Source organism: Homo sapiens, chromosome X, assembly GCF_000001405.40.
Source record: "Homo sapiens chromosome X, GRCh38.p14 Primary Assembly".
Taxonomy (NCBI): Eukaryota; Metazoa; Chordata; class Mammalia; order Primates; family Hominidae; genus Homo; species Homo sapiens.
Genome location: NC_000023.11, coordinates 12,814,006 through 12,837,211, shown reverse-complemented (window position 1 = coordinate 12,837,211; position 23,206 = coordinate 12,814,006). Strand labels below are relative to the sequence as shown.

General features: G+C 42.1%; 1 protein-coding gene and 1 pseudogene across 2 annotated transcripts in view, besides 1 other annotated feature; both read right to left on the bottom strand.

Moving 5' to 3' along the window:
* On the bottom strand, positions 10,216 to 11,401 carry PSMA6P2 (proteasome subunit alpha 6 pseudogene 2; annotated as a pseudogene).
* The window catches only part of PRPS2 (phosphoribosyl pyrophosphate synthetase 2), a 32,811-nt gene continuing 22,594 nt past the window's right edge, over positions 12,990 to 23,206 (bottom strand). For both annotated transcript variants that reach the window (NM_001039091.3, NM_002765.5), the window contains exons 5-7: positions 17,532 to 17,705; positions 16,409 to 16,568; positions 12,990 to 14,508 (exon numbers count right to left, since the gene is read on the bottom strand). In NM_001039091.3, coding sequence (NP_001034180.1) covers positions 14,416 to 14,508; positions 16,409 to 16,568; positions 17,532 to 17,705 — 427 coding nt within the window. In that variant the 3' untranslated portion in view covers positions 12,990 to 14,415. The remainder of the gene's footprint in view (positions 14,509 to 16,408; positions 16,569 to 17,531; positions 17,706 to 23,206) is intronic.
* Positions 16,206 to 17,405: an enhancer, noted in NCBI's record as "MED14-independent group 3 enhancer chrX:12837926-12839125 (GRCh37/hg19 assembly coordinates)". NCBI's record gives its function as "activates an origin of replication core promoter dependent on BRD2, BRD4, P300/CBP and CDK7 cofactors, and independent of MED14, by STARR-seq in HCT116 cells {active_cell/tissue: HCT116}" and the evidence as "EXISTENCE:reporter gene assay evidence [ECO:0000049][PMID:35650434]".

Genomic DNA, 23,206 nt, shown 5'->3' with positions numbered 1-23,206 from the left:
CCAAGCAAATGGAAAGCAAAAAAAAAAAAAAACAGGTGTTGGTCAGGCGAGGTGGCTCACACCTGTAATCCCAGTACTTTGGGAGGCTGAGGCAGCGGGATCACCTGAGGTCGGGAGTTCAAGACTAGCCTGACCAACATGGAGAAACCACATCTCCACTAAAAATACAAAATTAGCAAGGCGTGGTGGCACATGCCTGTAATCCCAGCTACTCGGGAGGCTGAGGCAGGAGAATTGCTTGCTCCTGGGAGGTGGGGGTTGTGGTGAGCCAAGATCATGCCACTGCACTCTAGCCTGGGCAACAAGAGCAAAACGCCATCTAAAAAAAAAAGAAAAAAAAAAAAAGAAAAAAAACCCAGCAGGGGTTGCAATCCTAGTCTGTGATAAAACAGATTTTAAGCCAAGAAAGATTAAAAAAAGACAAAGAGGGGTACTATATAATGGTAAAGGGATCAATGTAACAAGAAGAGCTAATTATCCTAAATATATGTGCACCCAATACAGGAGCACCTAGATTCATAAAGCAAGTTCTTAGAGACCTAGAAGGAGACTTAGACTCCCACACAATAATAGTGGGAGATTTTAACACCCCACTGTCAATATTAGACAGATCAATGAGACAGAAAATTAACAAGGATATTCAGGACTTGAACTCAGCTCTGGACCAAGCACAACTAATAGACATCTACAGAACTCTCCACCTCAAATAACAGAATATACATTCTTCTCAGCACCACATCACAGTTATTCTAAAATTGACCACATAATTGGAAGTAAAACACTCCTCAGCAAATGCAAAACAATGGAAACCATAACAGTCTATCAGACCACAGTGCAATCATATTAAAATTCAGGATTAAAAACTCACTCAAAACTGCACAACTACATGGAAACTGAACAACCTGCTCCTGAATGACTACTGGATAAATAACAAAATTAAGGCAGAAATAAATAAGTTATTTGAAACCAATGAGAACAAAGACACAACATACCAGAATCTCTGGGACACAGCAAACGCAGTGTTTAGAGGGAAAGTTATAGCACTAAATGCCCACAAAAGAAAGCAGGGACAGATCTAAAATCGACCCCCTAACATCACAATAAAAAGAACTAGAGAAGCGAGAGCAAACATTCAAAAGCTAGCAGAAGACAAGAAATAACTAAAATCAGAGCAGAACTAAAGAAGATAGAGGCATGAAAAACCCTTCAAAAAATCAGTGAATCCAGGAGCTGGTTTTTTGAAAACATTAACAAAATAGATAGACCACTAGCCAGACTAATAAAGGAGAAAAGAGAGAAGAATCAAATAGACACAATACAAAATGATAAAGGGGTTATTACCACTGATCCCACAGAAATACAAACTATTATCAGAGAATACTAAAATCACCTCTACTCAAATAAACTAGAAAATCTACAAGAAATGGATAAATTCCTGGACACATACACCCTCCCAAGACTAAATCAGGAAAAAGTCAAATCCCTGAATAGATCAATAACAAGTTCTGAAATGGAGGCAGTAATTAATAGCCTACCAACCAAAACAAGCACAGGACCAGACGTATTCACAGCTGAATTCTACCAGAGGTACAAAGAGGAGCTGGTACCATTCCTTCTGAAACTATTCTAAGCAATAAAAAAAGAGGAACTTCTTCCTAACTCATTTTATGAGGCCAGCATCATCCTGATATCAAAACCTGGCAGAGGCACAATGAAGAAAGAAAATTTCAGGCCAATATCCCTGATGAACATCAATGAGAAAATCCTTAATAAAATATTGGCAAACCAAATCCAGCAGCACATCAAAAAGCTTATCCACCACAATCAAGTCGGCTTTATCTCTGGGCTGCAAGGCTGGTTCAACATATGCAAATCAATAAACATAATCTATCACATAAACAGAACCAATGACAAAAACCACATGATTATCTCAATAGATGCAGAAAAGGCCTTCAATAAAATTCAACACCCTTTCATACTAAAAACTCTCAATAAACTAGGTATTGATGGAACATATCTCAAAATAATAAGAGCTATTTATGACAAACCCACAGCCAATATCATACTGAATGGGCAAAAGCTGGAAGCACTCCCTTTGAAAACTGGCACAAGACAAGGATGCCCTCTCGCTCCACTCCTATTCAACACAGTATTGGAAGTTCTGGCCAGGGCAATCAGGCAAGAGAAAGAAATAGAAGGTATCCAAATAGGAAAAGAGGAAGTCAAATTGTCTCTGTTTGCAGATGACATGATTGTATATTTAGAAGACCGCATCATCTCAGCCCACAATCTCCTTAAACTGATAAGCAACTTCAGCAAAGTCTCAGGATACAAAATCAATGTGCAAAAATCACAAGCATTCCTATACACCAATAATGGACAAACAGAGAGCCAAATCATGAGTGAACTCCCATTCACAATTGCTACAAAGAGAATAAAATACCTGGGAATACAACTTACAAGGGATGTGAAGGACCTCTTTAAGGAGAACTACAAACCACTGCGCAAGGAAATAAGAGAGGACACAAACAAATGGAAGAACATTCCATGCTCATGGATAGGAAAAAACAATATCCTGAAAATGGCCGTATTTCCCAAAGTAATTTATGGATTCAATGCATACCCATCAAGCTACCATTGACTTTCTTCTCAGAATTAGAAAAAAAAACTACTTTAAATTTCATATAGAACCAAAAATACATACCATATAGCCAAGTCAATCCTAAGCAAAAAGAACAAAGCTGGAGGCATCACGCTAACTGACTTCAAACTATATTACAAGGCTACAGTAACCAAAACAGTATGGTACTGGTACCAAAACAGATATAAAGACCAATGGAACAGAACAGAGGCCTCAGAAATAATGCCACACATCTACAACCATCTGATCTTTGACAAACCTGACAAAAACAAGCAATGGGGAAAGGATTCTGTATATAATAAATGGTGTTGGGAAAACTGGCTAGCCATATGCAGAAAACTGAAACTGGACCCCTTCCCTACAACTTATACAAAAATGAACTCAGGATGGATTAAAGACTTAACTGTAAGACCTAAAACCACAAAAATCCTAGAAGAAAACCTAGGCAATACCATTCAGGCCACAGGCACGGGCAAAGACTTCATGACTAAAACACCAAAAGCAATGGCAACAGAAGCCAAAATTGACAAATGATCTAATTAAACTAAAGAGCTTCTGCACAACAAAAGAAACTACCATCAGAGTGAACAGGCAACCTACAGAATGGGAGAAAATTTTTGCAATCTGTCCATCTGACAAAGGGCTATTTTCCAGAATCTACAAGGAACTTAAAGAAATTTACAAGAAAAAAACAAACAACGCCATCAAAAAGTGAGTGAAGGATATGAACAGAGACTTCTCAAAAGAAGACATTTATGTGGCCAAGAAACATAGAAAGCTCATCATCACTGGTCATTAGAGAAATGCAAATCAAAACCACAATGAGATACCATTTCACACCAGTTAGAATGGTGATCATTAAAAAATCAGGAAACAACAGATGCTGGAGAGGATGTGGAGAAATAGGAAAGCTTTTACACTGTTGGTGGGAGTGTAAATTAGTTCAACCATTGAGGAAGACAGCGTGGCAATTCCTCAAGGATCTAGAACCTGAAATACCATTTGACCCAGCCATCCCATTACTGGGTATATACCCAAAGGATTATAAATCATTCTACTATAAAGACATATACACACATATGTTTATTGCAGTGCTATTCACAATAGCAAAGACTTGGAAACAATCCAAATGCCCATCAATGATAGACTGGATAAAGAAAATGTGGCACATATACACCATGGAATACTATGTAGCCACAGAAAAGGATGAGTTCATGTCCTTTGCAGGGACATGGATGACACTGGAAACCATCATTCTCAGCAAACTAACACAGGAACAGAAAACCAAACACCGCATGTTCTCACTCATAAGTGGGAGCTGAACAGTGAGAAAACATGGACACAGGGAGGGGAGCATCGCACACCGGGGCCTGTCGGGGTGTGAGGGGCTAGAGGAGGGATAGCATTAGGAGAAATACCTAATGTAGATGACAGGTTGATGGGTGCAGCAAACCACCATGGCAGGTGTATACCTATGTAACAAACCTGCACGTTCTGCACATGTGTCCCAGAACTTAAAGTATATATATATATATGAGTTAAATTACCTTGGATATATTGATTCCTCTTCATTCTGGCTTCTCACAGCAGTATGAAAAATAACTGAAGGGCCAGGTAACCCAAGACCTGCATGGCTCATCAAAAGATCTGCTCTCTTGACTGGGTGAGGTGGCTCACATCCGTAATCCCAGCATTTTGGGAGGCCAAGACAGCAGATCATCTGTGGTCAGGAGTTTGACACTGACCTGGCCAATATGGTGAAACCCCATCTCTACAAAAATACAAAAAAAATTACCTGGGTGTGGTGGTAGGCACCTGTAATCCCAGCTACTCTGGAGGCTAAGACAGGAGAATCACCTGAACCCGGGAAGCAGAGGTTGCAGTGAGCCAGATTGTGCCACTGCACTCCAGCCTGGGTGACAAGAGCGAGACTCCATCTAAAAAAAAAAAAAAAAAGTGCTCTCTTGAGGTCACTGTTAAAATCAGACTAAACTTCAATCATCTCCATCAAGGTTACTGTTAGTATATTAATTTCTTCCTTTTTTTTTTTTTTTTTTATTGGAGACAGAGTCTCACTCTGTCATCCAGGCTGGAGTGCAGTGGCGCGATCTTGGCTCACTGCAACCTCCACCTCCTGGGCTCAAGCGATGCTACCCCCAAACCCCCCAAGTAGCTGGGACCACAGGCCTGCACCACCATGCCTGGCTTTTTTTTTTTTTTTTTTTTTTGAGACAGAGTCTCACTCTGTCGCCCATGCTGGAGTGCAGTGGCGCAGTCTCGGCTCACTGCAATCTCTGCCTCCTGGGTTCACGCCATTCTCCTGCCTCAGCCTCCCGAGTAGCTGGGACTACAGGCGCACGCCACCGCGCCAGGCTAATTTTTTGTATTTTTAGTAGAGACGGGGTTTCACCGTGTTAGCAGGATGGTCTTGATCTCCTGACCTTGTGATCTGCCTGCCTCGGCCTCCCAAACTGCTGTGATTACAGGCATCAGCCACTGCACCCGGCCTCCTGGCTAGTTTTTGTATTTTTTGTAGAGACAGGGTTTCGCCACGTTAGCCAGGCTGGTCTCAAACTCCTGAGCTCAAGCAATCCTCCTGCCTCGGCCTCCCAAAGTGCTGGGATTACAGGTATGAGCCATCACACCAGGCCTAGTATATTAATTTCTTGATTAAAAAACCAAAATCCTTGTGACTTATTCTAAGGCTGAATTGTTCTTAGAGAAAATTGAGGGAATAATTTAGTGAAGGATTCAAAATCTTGTGTCCAGGTCATGGCAGATATAGGAACCAGTGCTTGTAGCCCTGCATCAAAAGGATAATGTGGCTGGGTGCCATGCCTCACACCTGTAATCCCAAGTGCTTTGGGAGACTAAGGCAGGAGGATCACTTGAGGCCAGGAGTTCAAGACCAACCTAGGCAACATAGCGAGACTCTGTCTCTACAAAAATATTTAAAGGTTAGCCAAGCATGGTGCCACACACACCATTGCACTCAAGCCTGGGCAACAGAGCAAGACATTTGTCTCTGAAAAAACAACAACAACAACAACAACAACAAAACAACAAAACAAAACAACAAAACAAGGATAATGTGATTATTTTGGTGTAAACCTCATTTTGTACCAAAACGCTAGCATTGAATTTTTTAAAGTGAGGTATGATTGCCGTTGTCTTATCCACTTTGTGCTAAAATGCTTTTTTAGTTGTGATTGGGCCAGGGGCCAGGATGAATCTCCTCTGTAACTCTGACCTGAGTCTTCAGGAAAGAAGATTGAGGAAGAAAGTCTTGGTTAAAATAAATCAGGTTGTCAAGCAGGGGTGATTTTGCCCCCAAGGAACATTGGCAAGGTCTGGAGACATCTTTTGGTTGTCACAAATGTGGGATGGGGGTTGCTATCGGCATTTAGTGGGTGGAGGCTAGGGATGCTGCTCCCCCAGGAAAGAATGAGCCAGCCCCAAATGGCAAGAGTGTTGAGGCTGAACAACCTTGAAACATGCTGGGAGGTGAAAGCAGGGAATCTGTCCCTGGGGAGTGTCTGGCCCCGGGGAAATGCTGGTGCTTGGGCTAGTTTGTCCAACCTCCCTCCCGTTTCTCCACCCCCAACACCCTCCTCCAGTTCTTCACATCTGTCTCACCTTCTGCCTCCCCTGCCCCGATTCTGAAATGCCTCCATCGAGGACTTTGGGAATTTTATTGCGGATAAAATTGGCTCTCAGGAAAATACAAGAGAAACATAAGAAACTAATAAATGTGGGAAAAAAAAAGCTCAACAGCAGAAGTATACCAGAATTGGCTTTGCAAACAATGGAGTATCTCGTAGGAGGATCTGGAAGAGATGGGGTCACATACTTTTTAAACAAGTGCACCTTTGTTCTTTTTGCATTTTAATGCTGAATATAGCTGTCTTTGTAGGCTCACAATATAAATGATTCCGATTTCCAATTTTTTTAAATACCAAAAGAATAGGAACACACCAACACAAATACTAAAAGAACAAAGCCTGATATACCAGAAAATCTGGGGAGGGGGATAAAGTGTTGGAATCACTGCTGAGAATTGAACCCAGCAGGCCACATTCCTAGCCTTTTCCTGGTCACCCCACTGTTTCACACACCCCAAATAAATTATCCTGCCTACAGCATGGTGCCATCATACTTCTGTGTTGCTGACATCAAATGATTGTGCATAAAACTACCTGTGTCACTGGGCGCGGTGGCTCATGCCTGTAATCCCAGCACTTTGGGAGGCTGAGGCAGGCGGGTCACCTGAGGTTGGGAGTTCCAGACCAGCCTGACCAACATGGAGAAACCCCATCTCTACTAAAAATACAAAATTAGCCGGGCGTGGTGGCACATGCCTGTAATCCCAGCTACTCGGGAGGCTAAGGCAGCAGACTTGCTTGAACCCGGGAGGCAGAGGTTGCGGTGAGCTGAGATCATGCCACTGCACTCCAGCCTGGGCAACAAGAGTGAAACTCCATCTCAAAAAAACACCAACCAACCAAACAAACAAAAAACGACCTGTGTCAACTCTGAAGGCTAGATTTACATAAGCCTTATTCATGTATTTTATTTATCTCATACTTATATGACAGCCGCATCCTAACACTATGGTATACTAATAGGTGCTTCATAAGGGATTGCTGAGTGTATGAATGAATGAATGAATGAATGAATGAATGAAACAAGACCAACTCCTTCATTTTGCCTGTGGAAGGACTAAAAATATGAATTTTCCGTTTGACATATGTCTAAGCCAAGATGTTCACATGAGTCAAAATACAGAGAAGCAAGTGGTATTTCTCCGATGTATTAAAGTTCCTAATTTATGTACATGTAATAAAACCTCTCCAAAACGCAAGGGTTGAAAGTGTGTTTATGGCTGTACCAATGCACATCAGTGGAGGATTATTGATTCTTCCAAAATAACTCTCGCGCCAACTGGTTTTCCCCAGAGTGCTTTTTAATTCATAGGACTTTTTCTGTGAATTTTGTATTGTTAAAAAAAAAAGTTATTCATCACATTCATTGAAGACACTAAGGAAGACTTCATTCAAGGGGGTCTTTGTGATAGGTTTAGGGACCACAGACTGCAATGGGGTCTTATAGTGGGGGAGAGAGATTAATCTCAGCTCTGACTCCAACAAGGACAAGTGGGGATTTGTAAGCAACGAGCAGGGTTGGGGGCCGTGGATGGAAAACCACTAAGGAAACATCAGGGGTAGGAGGGATTCTTGCTAGATCAACTCAAATAGAATTCTTGCTAAAGGCAAGCCTGGGTGATAAGATATCGAGGGTGGTCAGATACCAAGGGCAGGAGTTTTTTTGATAAACTGACTTCACAGGATTCTTGCTCAAACTAAATTCCACAATGACAGAGAGGGAAGCCCAAGACAGGTCTGGTCAAGGAGAGGATTCAGAGGAGCCTGACTGTTGTTAGGACAAGGAATGAGTCTTGGTCGGTGTTCAAGAAAGAATTGCTCTTTGAATGCTATGAATGCATCCAGGTGCAGAAATTAATGCGAGGTCAGATCACCATTGCTGTGGAGAGGGATCTCTGCCTATCTTTCTTTTGATTCTTCTGTTCCATAGCCTTGGTCCTAAATACAAGGTTTTCTGAGACTTAAAGGAATTTAGGGTTGCACCAGGCATGGTGGTGCACACCTGTAGTTCCAGCTACTTGGAGGCTGAGGCAGGAGGATTGCTTGATACTATGAGTTCAAGACCAGCCTGAGCAATATAGTGAGACCTTCTGTCTCAAAAAAAACAGGAAAGAGAGAGACAAAGAAAGAGAGAGAGAGAGGAAGGAAGGAAGGAAGGAAGGAAGGAAGGAAGGAAGGAAAGGAAGAAAAAGAAAAGAAATTTAGGGTCGCTCCTTGGTTCCTTGGGTGAGTAAATGTCAATGGCACATACTGAGCTTATCCTATGGTAAATGTACATCAAAATATGCCCAGAAATAATCATTAGGATGATTTTAAAGAGTGACGTGTTCAGTTTTAGTTCTTAAAATATGTCCATAATTCATGGTCAGTCTTAGCTTCCATGCAAGAAAATACTAGATTTAGCACTCCTTGTGTAGGGAAAATCAGAGCATCATACGTCCTCAGACACAGATGGCCATGCCCTCACAAATGTTAAGAATCTCTCAATGTGCGGAAGGACAACGTACATCAGGTAACCTTCAGAGCACTCTGCCTTCTGCCTGGACTGTTCCCTGGGGTCTCTGAAGACCACTTATGGTGTTAAAGGTAGCTGTGCCAAAGGACTGGCAATCAAGCCAGGCTTGAAGGTGTTTTCTAAAGGTGCCCCTGCTTTTTCTCTCTGATTTTGTGACTACAGCTCTTGAGCTTCTATAGTTAGTTGAACAGATTTTAAAAGACCTGTGATACCACAGGTGCCCTGCACATTGTTGGGCTCATCATATAGCCTGCTTGTTTTTGCAACCAGCACAAGATCAAAGCCATGCTCGTGGGATTCCTTACCAAGGTAGTGCCGGGGATGCAGAACTATCCACCTTAGAAGAGGGAACGGGAGACCAAACGTCCTGGTTTGCCCAGGACTGAGGGGTTTCCTAAGATATAGGTCTTTCAGGGCTAAATCGAGAAAAGTCCCACGCAAACCAAGACAAGTTGGTCACCCTATTGAGAGCAACCATCTGTGCCTTCAGTTAGAACTATTCCAACTACATCTAGCATAAATGGCATTGCCTATTAAAACTGCTGGGGACTTCTGCAATCATCTTTCCTCTAATTTTTGCAGAAAGATGCTCATACCCAGAGTGGTGTACACATTTTTCCCAAGGTCACCCAGCTTGCTAGCAGCATATCAGGAACCAGAATCTAGATCGCCACACTTCCAATTTAGGGCATTTTCCACTGCATTATGTTTTTCACTTTCCTATTCTCTTTTTTTATCACTCTCTTAAAATGTAAAATTCATTCAGCCAGGTTTTCTTTTGGCCACAGAACTCGGCTGTTAGGATAGTGAAGACTGTTCTTCCCATTTATATTGGGCACCACTTTTGGTTGTATTTATGATGGGATGGATGGTGAATGAGGGCTACAATGAAATCAGGTTGTTGTAAATGACCTCAATTGATTACCATCTCTATAATCACATGACATTCATTCCTACCTGTTGTTTCTACAGCCCACTGGAAGTATTGTTGTTGTTTTTAAGAGACGGGGTTTCTCTATGTTGCCCAGGCCAGTCTCAAATTCCTGGGCTCAAGCAATCCTACTGCCTCAGCCTTCTGTGTAGCTGGGATTACAAGAATGCACCACGGCACTCAGCTGAAAGTTGTTGCTGTTGTTGTTGTTTGAGACAGTCTTGCTCTGTTGCCCAGGCTGGAGTGCAGTGGTGTGATCATGGCTCACTGCAACCTCTGCCTCCCAGGTTCAAGTGATTCTCATGCCTCAGCCTCCAAGTGGCTGGGATTACAGGCATGCGCCACCATGCCTGACTAATTTTTGTATTTTTTAGTAGAGATGGGGTTTCACTATGTTGGCCAGGCTGGTCTCAAACTCCTGATCTCAGGTGATGCACCTGCCTTGGCCTCCTAAAATGCTGAGATACCAAAAGCATTGCTTTTATTTATAGAGTCCTAATCAATTCAGTAGTAGGAGGAGTGGGAGAGGCTCCTTTTTCAATCCAGGGACCTCCATAATGTTGTTTTTTTTGTTACCAAACACACAGGTAAGTGGCATCATGGATTTGGTAAACTAACAACAATGTGAGTGCATCAATCTCTGCTTCTGTAAGAATCCCGACTTTAGGATTTTCAACTGTCACTACTCCAACTTCTATTTCTGAAGGTTTGAAATCAATTGATAGAACAGTAGACAGGCATGTAATTGCAGTTTCCACTGTCTGTTCAAATGTCCAATCAAATTTCTTTTGCACTTTTTTTTTTTTTTTTTTTTCTGAGACGGAGTCTCGCTCTGTCGCCCAGGCTGGAGTGCAGTGGCGCGATCTCGGCTCACTGCAGGCTCCGCCCCCCGGGCTCACGCCATTCTCCTGCCTCAGCCTCCAGAGTAGTTGGGACTACAGGCGCCCGCCACCTCGCCCGGCTAATTTTTTGTACTTTTAGTAGAGACTGGGTTTCACCGTGTTAGCCAGGATGGTCTCGATCTCCTGACCTGGTGATCCACCCGCCTCGGCCTCCCAAAGTGCTGGGATTACAGGCGTGAGCCACCGCACCCGGCCCACTTTTTTTTTTCAAGGAAGCTGGTTAACTCAGTTTGTTTAACTCCTGCTGCAGTGGCTTTAAATCACAGCAGTAACCTGCAGGATCATACTTTCACACCTGAGGGCCTTGTTCTTCATCTATACCAATGAAAATCATACAACCAAGAGACCTCATTGTAGCATTCTGAGTAGTATCAGCAATTCCACACAGAATGTCCACAGGAATCTCATAGCCGTACTTGTATTTCCAGTTAGCTGCCCCATAGCGTGCCCTCTGTACCTCTGTCATTCCGGTCATCACAGTGACAGCCAATGTTTTCAGTTATTTTGAGTAAGTGAGTCACTGTGCTGGAATCCGATAATTTGTCAAGCATTTCTTCTGTATGATAATTACAGCAGTCTTTTCCTCTGACAAATACTGATGGAAGGCCACCCAGGTTAATAGCCTTAAAAGCATATGCATATTCTACTTGGTAGTGCTGGCCCTCGGGCGAAAAAAATGTTAATGTGGTGGGCAAAACCAGCGCTGGAACCACGGGACATGCTGGTAGAACCACTACTTTCAGCATAATCAAGTTTTTTTTTTTTTTTTTTTTTTAACATGCAACTATTTGTCACCTAAATGCTACCCTTCACTGAGGCAGTCACATGCCAAGACAATGTAGCCCTTCTAAAATGGCAGGAGGGCAGTCTGTTCCCCTCTAGGATGAACACCTAGAAAATGCATGAAAATCTTGCCTCTTCATACCTTACATTCTTTCTAGGGGAGTTTCAGGAGGCTCACTCTAAAAACTGAAGTTAATGTACAAACCAAGCAATTCTAAACACTTTACACATAACGTCTCATTTATTATCCCCATCTCACATGTAAGGAAACTGAGGCATAGGGGTTAAGCAACCAGCCCAAGGTCGTTGTTGCTGTTGGTTTTTAAACTCCGGTAAGTGGTGAAGTCTGTGTTCCTGGGCATTATGCTTTCAGAATAGGAAACAGAGCTCAAAGACTGCAATAAAGGAAACCACCCAGGATGTGATCTTGGAAAGCAGGGGCAGAAAAAAGGTGGAGGGATGTGTTCCTGGGGCACAGGGAGATAAATCAGGAAGATAAATATTGGTAATGAGAAGGAGGAGCCCTGTTGATTTCACGCAATTTAGATACAGGATAGCTGAGTATGTTTCAGCCCCTAACTCCCATCTTCCCTGGCACATCCTTGCTCAAACACATCATGTACCAAACGCCCTCTGCTGTCCTGCGTCAGTCCACACTGGAACACACCATAGGGTTCTGGAAAATTCCGACGTGAACCGTCTAATGGTGATCACCGAGCCCTTCCTGGTATCCCCAGCGTGATTCCAACCTCTGCACGCCTTAGTACTCCATCTTTCCCTTCACTACTTCCCTGTCCCCTGTAGTTCAGCTAGGGGATTAGATAGGACATGCCATAGGAAATGAAACGTCTCTGAAGAGGTGTGGCAGCATTATTAAGTGCAATTGTAAAGCTGATGAAGTGTCTTTGGCTTTCACTTCTCCTTCACTTCCCTCCTTTCTAGTACATTCTATCATGTTCTCTCACACTGTGATCACCTTTTTTCTCAGATGGACCTGGATGTAATTCTTCATATTTCACTGTGACTTCAAGACACCATGTTGCCATTCTTAGTGTTACACATACTTTACAGCTGAGCTTCACCAGGGGAACGTAATTATGACTTGACTTTGCGCTCACGAGAGTAGTTTGAAGTATCACTGAACAGGCTGTTCTATGGGGACAGGAATCCTCCTCGGTGCTTCTGAAATCAATGAATATGAACAAGTTTTATGCAGCCTACATTTAAGTTTGGTTTGCTCCAATAGATGGATATTGAACATCACTACTCTGATGCGTGAACACACTGTACCATCTTTAATTTTATAGGAAACATGTGGAATTAACAACGTGGACACCTTATGTGGCACAGCTGTTACGCTTTGAGGAAAGGCGATTGCTGGTAAGTTCTTCAGGAAGAAACACCTTCAAAATGGAAAACAGCTGACATCAATTAACTTCTGGCTTTTCTGTAATTTTGTATGCTGGCCTATAATCGTAAAGTAGCAAACATTTTCAGGTACTGCAACACATCACTCCGTCAAAACATATTACTCCACAATGATACATACAAACTATGAACGCAGTCAGAATGATTTTATTGAAATGTTTTAGTACAGTGTTAGAGGATCTTAAAATCTTACATTTTAAACCAATACAAGCACTGCAAATGATATACTCCTGAATCTAGTTGATGTAGTATCTAAAAAGAAAAGTGATCATATGAGTATCTATAAGTTGACTAATGTAATTTAAGTTGGAGGCTAAACAAACAACTTTGGTATATTCATATTTCTCTGGCTCCTGTTTTTGGCCAGATAAATGCCAGGTCCACCCCCATTCAGTAGAATTGGACAGGACCAATGTATTTGGTGGTCTCACTTAAGTTTCCACGCCAGGAGCAGCAAGAAATGTACAAATTTTGGGATTAAGCTGCTCCCAAGACAGTCTTCATCACCTTTGTGAACTGGAAACACCAAATAGTCAAGGTCTGAATTTCCATTGTGTGTGGCTAAGTCCAGTCGCATTGGTTCATAAATGTATTCTGAAGGATTTTAAAATACAAAGGTGGGGCTAAATAATGATAGAAACCATCAGTTCTTAATTCAGAGAATGACAATGCAGGTTCCTATATCCTTTTTAAAAATCTGAGATCATTATTTTAAAACTAGCTCTATACATTCTTAGGCTTTAAATTTAATCTTAGCTGAAATGATTACCTTTAAGTCAGTTGGCTTTAGGCCTTGGCGATTGCTCAATATAATTTTGGAATTTTAGGATGCAGCATTTCAGGTAAGTGACAGTTATGTTTTAGAAGAGGTCATTTAAAAAATGATCCAGAAATACACTGCTCTGATATGTCTAATGTATACCCCCCAAAATGTGTCAGTGTCCATATTAAGCTAAATAAAATTTGGTCCAAATTAAGCACAGTAACCAAGATGGTTTATCTGAAACTGAGTTATCCAAAAAAAAAAAAAAAAGGAAAATTCAAAATCCATGGTATTATAATTATAAATTTTCCAAGGTTCACTCCAAAGTAAAAGGATAATTAATTCTATACAGGGTTTTACCCAAATGTCCATAGGCATTATCAGTATATATTTACACAGAAGGCTTTAATCTGAAGTCACCTTTGGCAACCTCGAAATATATAAACTATGACTTCCACAATGAAATTATATACTTGAAAGTTGTCGCCTCAAAGTACTGAAAGAACAAAGGAAGAGATCACCTGTACCTGTTAAAAGTCAAAATGACAAAAACGTTTCTCATTTAAGACAGTTCACTTAAAGACCAAATAACCACCACCATTTCCCCAAAAACTGGAAAGAAATGATCTTGAGCTTTAGAAGGGGAAACAATAAATCTTAGCATATACAAAGATCTGATGCTTTTGCCAGTGATTAACCTATCATTGCTGAATACCTACAGCTAAAAATCCAGAAAACAAAAACAAGTCAGAAGTCAGAGTAGGCTTGCTGGACACTTCCCATTCTGGATTTATAGCGGGACATGGCTGAACAGGTAGGACACGGATTCCCCATTGTGTGTCCTTCGGATTGCTTCGGCCAAGATCATGGAAATGTCAATGACCTAAATGCCAATGAGAAAAACAAAGGGAGAAGGGAAGCAGGACATCTTAGTTAGAGTTCTTTAAACATTGAAAAGCTGGAAAGCTGAGAAACAATTTCTGCAGCATACATGATGTGTTGCTATCAAAACTTCCGACACTTTTGAGAGGACAGACAGCTTTGGGGTATGTCTTCAAATTACAACCCGTTGAACCAGACCCATATGGGATCCTGGAAGGGAGATTTTCAATGCAGAGACAGAAGGCTTTTCAGGGATACTGTTAACCAGAGACATCCTTTTCCAGGGGCATTTGTTGTTTTAAATTAAGTTTAATCATTATACGGAAGGTTTTTCTTTCTGTTTCTGAAAAGGCGGTGACTGCGTCATTTAAGAGCACAACTGTGATCATCTAACTCAGGGGTCAGCAAACTATAGAGGACCAAATAGTTAACATATTTGACCTTGGAAGCCAGAGGGTCTCTGTCACAAATACTCAACTTGCCCATTGTAGCGTGAAAGCAGCCACGGGCAATACATATATGAATGGACGTGGCTGTGCTCTGATAAAAATTTGCAGAAACAGATGACAGGCTGGATTTCACTTGCGAGCCATAGTGTGCCAACTCCCATCCTAAACTACTGCTAATCAGGCATGAAAATATATGACATCGCTATCCTGACCATTTCCAGACTTACTGCTTTGTGTCAAGCAAATTGCTTTTCTCTCTGAGGAATCAGAAATCATGAAGCAGATCACTGTGATGCACCTTCATGCTACGCTGATGGGAGCCGAGGCTTTGGAGCAATGAAATGACTTGCCAAGGTTCACAGCGACATAGAGGCAAAATGGGCCTCAAACCCTTTTGACTTATTTCAGGCCAATTGCTATCTATATGATTACCAGCTCTCTGCTGGCCCGTCGGCATCCAATCAGCAGGGACGGGAAGGAGCAAAGCTCTGAAGATCCTCAGCTCAGCCTGCTGCTCCCACCCCCATTTTTTCACTGTGTGAGTGTGTATGTATCTATCTATGTATCTATCTATTTATCTATCTGGCTAAGATCAAGTATAGTGTCTGTTCTTATCAGTTGAAAATTTACATATATAACATCAAATTTGCCATTTTAACCATTTTTAAGTATACAATTTATTGGCATTAATTACATTCCTAATGTGTGAAACTATCACCATTGTTTATTTCCAAACTGTTTTCATCATCCCAAACAAAAACTATATAGTCATTAAATGATAGATAACGCCCCACTGCCCCCCCCACCCCCAGACCCTGATAGGCACCATTCTACTTTGTCTCTATGAATTTTCCAATCTCAGGTACCTCCTAGAAGCGGAAACACAATATTCCTCCTTTTGCATCTGGCTTTTTTCACTTAGCACGATGTTTTCAAGGTTCATCCATGCTGTAGCATGTGTCAGGATTTCTTTCCCTTTAAAGGCTGAATAGTATTCCATCGTAGCGACAGAGCACACTTTGGCCATCTGTTTGTCCGTTGATGGCCATTGGGTGGTTCTACCTTTTGGTTATTGTGAATAGTGCTGCTATGAACATGTCTGTACAAGTTTCTGTTTGAATATGTTTCCAAATTTGGGGGGCATATACCTAGGGGTGGAATTATTGGATCATATGATAATTCTAAGTTTAGCTTTAGCACAACCCGTTTCTGACTGTTTTTCCATTGTGATTTTCTTCACTCTCTATTTCTAAATAGCGAACGTTGACCTCTGCTGGTCCTGGCCTTTTTCAGGGATCTAATATGATTTATATCCTGCCGTCATGAGAAGCTGCCGCCTCTGCCAAGCATGTGCCTTAGCAAGGAGCCACACACACACAAGACATGATGCTATTTTTAAGGATCTAAAGTAGGTGCCTGGCTGCTTGGCTGCCTTTGGTGTATAGACAGTACCTGAATCTTGGTGCAGTGTTTCATTTTGTCCTCTTGCGGAATTGTGTTTGTGACGACAACAGCCTCAAAGGCGGCATTATTTATTCTGGAAATAGCTGGTCCAGAGAAGATCCCATGGGTAAGGATAGCATACACTTTGGTGGCTCCAGCTGACAGCAGCCTGTAGAACAGCAGAAGATAAAAATTAAGGGTATGCAAATATTCTTGGAATACTCTCCCCTAGTATGAATGGTAAAAGCACAAAGTGTGCTCCGTAAAAGAAAAATGCAACAAATTTCACTCACATTTATTAACCTAAGATAGGATCACTCAAGCATGAGCAAAACACTTTGTATTCCATTAAATCGGGGACTATCAACCTTGGCACTTGAGCCAGGATAATTCTTTGTCACGGGGGCTGTCCTACGCATTATGGGAAAATTCAACAGCATCCCTGGCCTCTACCCACTAACGACAACCCACCCCTCAGCCGTGACAACAAAAAATGTCTCTAGACATTGCCACATGTCTCCCAGGGAGCAAAATCACTCCTGGTTGAGAACCACCTGTTTAAACCAATATAGCCAAACATCATTGTTTTGATGTGTAATCAACATAAAAACATATATGTAAATGAGATATATATTCATTGTTTCATATTAAGTCTCCAAAACCTAGTGGCCTTTTTATACTCTCAGCACATCTCAAGTCAGACTGGCCATATTCCAAGAGCTCCACGGCCACGTGTGGCTGGGTGGGGGCTTCCATACTGGGCAGCAGCTCTACAAATCCTCCAGACACCCATGTGGCTGAGAAGGCTGGCACGAAAGCCAAATGGAAGGAAGCTAGGGCCTGAAGAAGCCCGAAAAACCATCTTTCCTGTCGTGCTCAGTGCAAAGGGAAGCACCTTCTTTGACCTTTTTCCAGGTACACTACAAGCTCACCCTGGAAAACGAAAAGGCCCGTGCTTTCTTTTCTACCAGAGAAAGAAGTATAAAGATAAAAGGGCCTAGAATCTCCTTTGGTCTAAAACTCCACTGCCAAGACCGGCAATAATCAGGAAAAAAGAGCCCAATTTCTAAAAGCTGATGTGTTTCCCTTTCCTAGTGAGAAGTCCTAACGCTTTCCCCACCGCCCTGCGTACTTGTCCGCAGCATGGCAGATGGTGCCGCAAGTGTCAGCCATGTCATCCACGAGGATGGCCACACGGTCCTTCACGTCGCCCACCAGGACCATCCGGTCCACTTCATTCGCCTTCTTCCTCTCTTTGTGGATCAAAGCAAATTCCACATTCAACCTGTCTGCAATTGATGTAACCCTGGCAAAGGCACAAATGAACATGTTCATACAGTCAACTAGAGATCTCGCCTTTAAAGTTGTATTTTGGGAATGTAGCAGGCAACCACACCCGAGAGATGATGCAAGAATCAGGCCTCTCTTGATCAGCCCAGGCATGGTCTGGGGCAGGCACTTAGCAATCCACAGGGAGAAATGTGCTAATGGCGGACCTTGCAATTGGGGCAGCTAGGAATGACCGTCAGGGCACCCTGGCCACTGGATAGAACTACTGGGTAAGAATTTGATATTCAGTTTGTTAGTATTTGTGGGTAGCATTTTAAAACCATGACAGGTACAACTTAAAGTAAGTTATTTAGGAACTACTATTTGCCCAGTTTGTGGCACAGATAGTGGGGACAAAAGTCCTGGTTAATACAGCCATCTAATATGTAGGCTAGTCAGGATGGGCTTCATTGCATTCAAGGTCTAAGGAGACTTTAAACTGTGAGTCCAGCTCCTCTGCTCATCTAAGGCAAATGCTCAGACATCAATGGTGCCAGGCATGGCATCGTGCCTGTAGGCCCAGCTACTCAGGAGTCGCAGGTAGAAGGATGGCTTGCGTCTGAGTTCGAATACAGCCTGGACAACATAGCAAGATCCCATCTCTTTAAAAAAAAAAATCACTAGCTCAGGAGGAGCTGAGCTGCCAACAGGAAGAGAAAGTGGGCAGGCCTCGCTTGCTGGTGAGCCTGGGGCATTTCAGATTTTCCTGTGAAGAGTGGATTTAAATGGTGAAACTTATTTCAAGACAATGCCACAGGTATAATGTAACATTAAGATTTTCCTTTTCCAGTTTTTAAAATAACAGTCATTATGCAATTTAGCTGAAAAAATGCTTTGGGGACCAATACACACATGGCCCAACTTAAGACGCAGTACATGGAGGATATAACCTCCACACACTAGTTTTAAAGTCCTAGTCCTACTCATTGTGTCATCCTCAGATGACGACCAGGAATGGAGCTCCTCGCGTGCTCTGATGAAGGACAGAGGGGACACTCTCTGGGGCTGAGAAGGCAGTGGGAAGGGCAGTTAGGTGCTCCAGGCTCCCCTCCCTATTTCTGAGGATTTTCACAACACAACCAGTGTTTCTTTTCTTTTCTTTTTTTTTTTTTTTTTTGAGACAGTTTCACTCTTGTTGACCAGGCTGGAGTGCAATGGCACAATCTCGGCTCACTGCAACCTCTGCCTCCTGGGTTCAAGTGATTCTCCTGCCTCGGCCTCCTGAGTAGCTGGGGTGATAGGCATGCACCACCACTCCTGGCTAATTTTGTATTTTTAGTAGAGACAGGGTTTCTCCATGTTGGCCAGGCTGGTCTCGAACTCCTGACCTCAGGTGATCCGCCCACCTCAGCTTCCCAAAGTGCTGGGATTACGGACATGAGCCACTGTGCCCAGCCAGTGTTTCTTTTCAATTGTGGTAAAATATACATAACACAGAATTTATCCTTGGAGCCATTTTAAAGTGTATTAATTCAATGGCATCAAGTACATTCACAACATTGCACAACTATTATCTCTGTCTAGTTCCAGAACATTTCATGATATCAAAAGGAAACCCCACACCCCTTAAGCAGGCACTCCCTATTCTCCCCTCCCCCCAGGCCCTGCCAAGCATGAATCTATTTTCTGTCTCTATTCTGAACTTTTTGTATAAATGGAATCATAAAATACGTGCATTTTTGTGTCTGGCCTCTTTCAATTAGCATAAACTGTTCATAGTCCATCCACACGGCTGCATAGATGAGTACTTCATCTCTCTTTAAGTCTGAATAACATTCCATTGGGTGGATACAGCGCATTGCGTTCATCCATTCATCTGTTCATGGCCACTCAGGTTGGTTCCACCTTTTGGCTATACTGAATACTGCCGCTATGAACACTGGTGTATAAGTATCTGTTTGAGTCCCTGTCTTCAAGTCTTTGGGGAATATACCTCAGAGTGGAATTGCTGGGTCATATGGTAACTCTGTATAACCTATTCGGCTAATATTTCCTTTTTTTTTTTTTTTTTTTTTATGAGGAACATCTTTTATTTCTTGTAAAGAGGGGAAAATAAGATTTTTTAATATTTCTCACTCATAAGATTTTTAAACTCTTAAAAATGCAATATCCTCTTTTCAAAGCACATGCCATCTTAAAAAAATCTTAGCAATGTACATTTGCACTCAAAGAAAAACATGGCAGCACCACTGTCTTCTGACAAAATTCTGCATAAAAAAACCCTATGCAACTTTTTGCAAATATGTTCCTTCTTTATTATTCAGGGACACCAAACCACAAACATTCAGTGCAATATTTATTGTTTTTTATTTCCGTAGGAAACACAGGACCAATGATGTCTTCTGACAACTGTTTCCTGATGATTTGTTGGGTTTATTGGATCTGAGGATCCTCGGATCCAATAAACCCAACAAATGAATTCCCAAACAATCTTAACAAAACTATAGAAGACCAAGAAAGCTTAAAAGAGACAAAGAATAAAGACAAGTCACCTAGTAAGGATGGCCAAGTCCTCAACTTCCCCAATGGAAGCCAGAAGTTATGGAGTCATATCTTCAATGTGATATGAGAAAATAACTCTCAGGCTAGGAGTCTATACTCAGCAAAACTGCCTTTCCAGAAGGAGAGCAAAATAAAGATAGTTTCAGCCAAACTATACAACCTGAGAATTTATTTCTAACATATAACCACTTAAAGAATGCAACTTAAGCAAAAGGAAAATCACCACAGATACATTGAGATGTGGTGAGGGGCAGGGGCAGAGAAAGGTAAGCAAAGATATTGATCAATATGTGGACAAATCTAAACAAATGTTGATTGTACAAAACCAAAATAATAATAATGTCTACTTTGTGGAGAAGGAAAAACTAAAGCATATAGTAGCTAAGCATGGTGGCTCACACCTATAATCCCAGCATTTTGGGAGGCCGAGGCAGGCAGATCACTTGAGCCCAGGAATTGGAGACCAGCCTGGGCAACATAGTAAAACCCCATCTCTACAAAAAATACAAAAATTAGCCAGGCATGGTGGCATGCGCCTTTAGTTCCAGCTACTTGGGAGGCTAAGGTGGCAGGATTACTTGAGCCTGGGAGATCGGGGGCTGCAGTGAGCTGTGATCGCGCCACTACACTCCAGCCTGGGCAACAGAGCAAGACTCTGTCTCAAAAACAAAAAAACCACATAGTAAGGTGGTGGTCATAAATCCAACTATGTCAATTATCATAAAAGAAAAGGGACCAAACTTTCCAGTTAAACACAGAGACTGTGAGATAAGAGAATAAGACATCAACGTCCTTGAAGCAAAGGGAATCATTACTATATTGAGGTCCATGTTTCTCCTACCCTTAGAACACTCATCCTACCCTTAAAACACTCATTCTTCAGGATGCAACCAAAACCACAGTAGCCCTAGCAGATACCCTTTGTTTGTAAACTTGTCTAGCTGTCAACAGTTTCCTTACTTAAAGATTTAATTAAAAAAATTAATTTAAAGGCCAACAAAAATTTTGCTCCATCATCACCTTAAAACACCTACAGTTCAGCCAGGCACGGTGGCTCACAGCTGTAATCCCAGCACTTTGGGAGGCCGAGGTGGGTGGATCACCTGAGGTTAGGAGTTCAAGATGAGCCTGGCCAACATGGTGAAACTCCATCTCTACAAAAATACAAAAAGTAGCCGGGCATGATGGTGGCTGCCTGTAACCCCAGCTACTTGGGAGGCTGAGGCGGGAGAATCGCTTGATCCCGGGAGGTGGAGGTTGCAGTGAGCCAAGATCACGCCATTGCACTCCAGCCTGGGCGACTGAGCGAGACTCCATCTCAAAAAACAAACAAACAAAAAAACACGTACAGTTCTATTATCTACATGCCAATGTCATAAAAGCCACTCAAACTCCAGGTAAGGAAAGCTACTTTCTGGGAACATGAGACAGGTTTTCCCAAGACACATGAACACCTCGCACAAAATGTCCACATACATTACCGTCTGCTTATTTGGTAACGACTAGGCAGATTTGGGCATGACAGGATACCAATCCACAGCCCAGCACTGGGAAGCACTGCCCTTTGTGGTGGAAGTTCTATACCGGAGAAGTTAAAGCAGAACCTGTTTTCATCTCTCTGCCAGGTGGCGCCTGTTCTCACGAGCCTGCTCACAAGCAGACAGCAGGGTAGGCATGGAAGTGGGACTGGGAAAGAAGGTGAGCTCTGTGGTTCTTGGCAGTGGGGGACACAGACATCTCACTTGAGTGGGGAGCCCTAGCCACTAAAAGGTATCCAATGGTAATGTCAGAAGAAGAAGATAAGAGAAAATACCCCTGCAAACAGCTTCCTGGGTTGTTAGAACGCTATGATTTCCTGAAAAAGCTATAGGTAACTCTTCTTTTCCTTGTATATCATGGAGACCTAATACATACTCCTAACAAATGATGTTGACACAACATACCACACTGAAATCTTAGGCAGAAAAAGGCAGAACGAAAATTATATACATACAGTTTTGGATTTCTTCTGGGCACATATTTACAATCTTTTCTCTGTGGGTGCATGTGCCATATCAGCTCCCCCAGGAGAGACAGATACATAGTACACCAAATTATTCATAGTGGCATCACTGGTTGAGATATAAAGTGTTAAGATTTTCTTCTTTCTACTTTCCAAATTTCCTATAGAGCATCTTCAAAGATTATGTAATCAGAAAAAAAGTTAAATCTGAGTTATCTAGTTTTACCCTCTTCCCATACCACTTTTAGGTTGACACTTGCTATCTCAGCAGTGGTAGGTAGGTTTCTTAGGTTTAATTTTCTTTCCGTGGTCAACCCAACCAAGCTACAAAGCCTACCCAAGAGTGACCTCCTGTGGCAACATTCAGTTTTACCCGGAACGAGTCAAGCTTCAAAGCTTTTTCTAAAGCAACAAGCTCCAATTGGTCAGACAGAAATTTACAGTATTTTATTTTGCTAACTATGACCTTTTGCATCAAGCAAAGAAGTCACAGATAATGTCAACTGCATATGTCATGTATTACCCGCAAGGCTGTTCTGAGGAGACTGTCAGTTGGGGGCTAGAATATGAGGATGACAATAATGTGTAGCAGAAACACTTGGAAAAGAGAAAGGAGGTGACAAAAATTCTGAAATGTACTTCCCTAAAAAGCTTGATTTTCCTGGCAGAGGGAGCAGGGGTGATTGAGTGCAGACTGCTTGAAAGGAGGTCTCAACAAAACAAAACAGCATCTCAACCCCAGCCATTTATTCTGTTTACTTTATTCTGCATTTTTTTAAAAGTAGGAGTTGGCAAATAGCTATCTATTTGAAATGGGGAACTCTGTATATGATGAAAGATGCCATTTCAAATCAATAGAGGTGGATTATTTAATAAATAGTTTTGGAAAAACTAGACAGTAGAGTCGGGGGTGGGGGGGCTGGATTCTTATTTCATTCTTTATTCCAAAATAAATTTCAGATGGAAGTAAACTT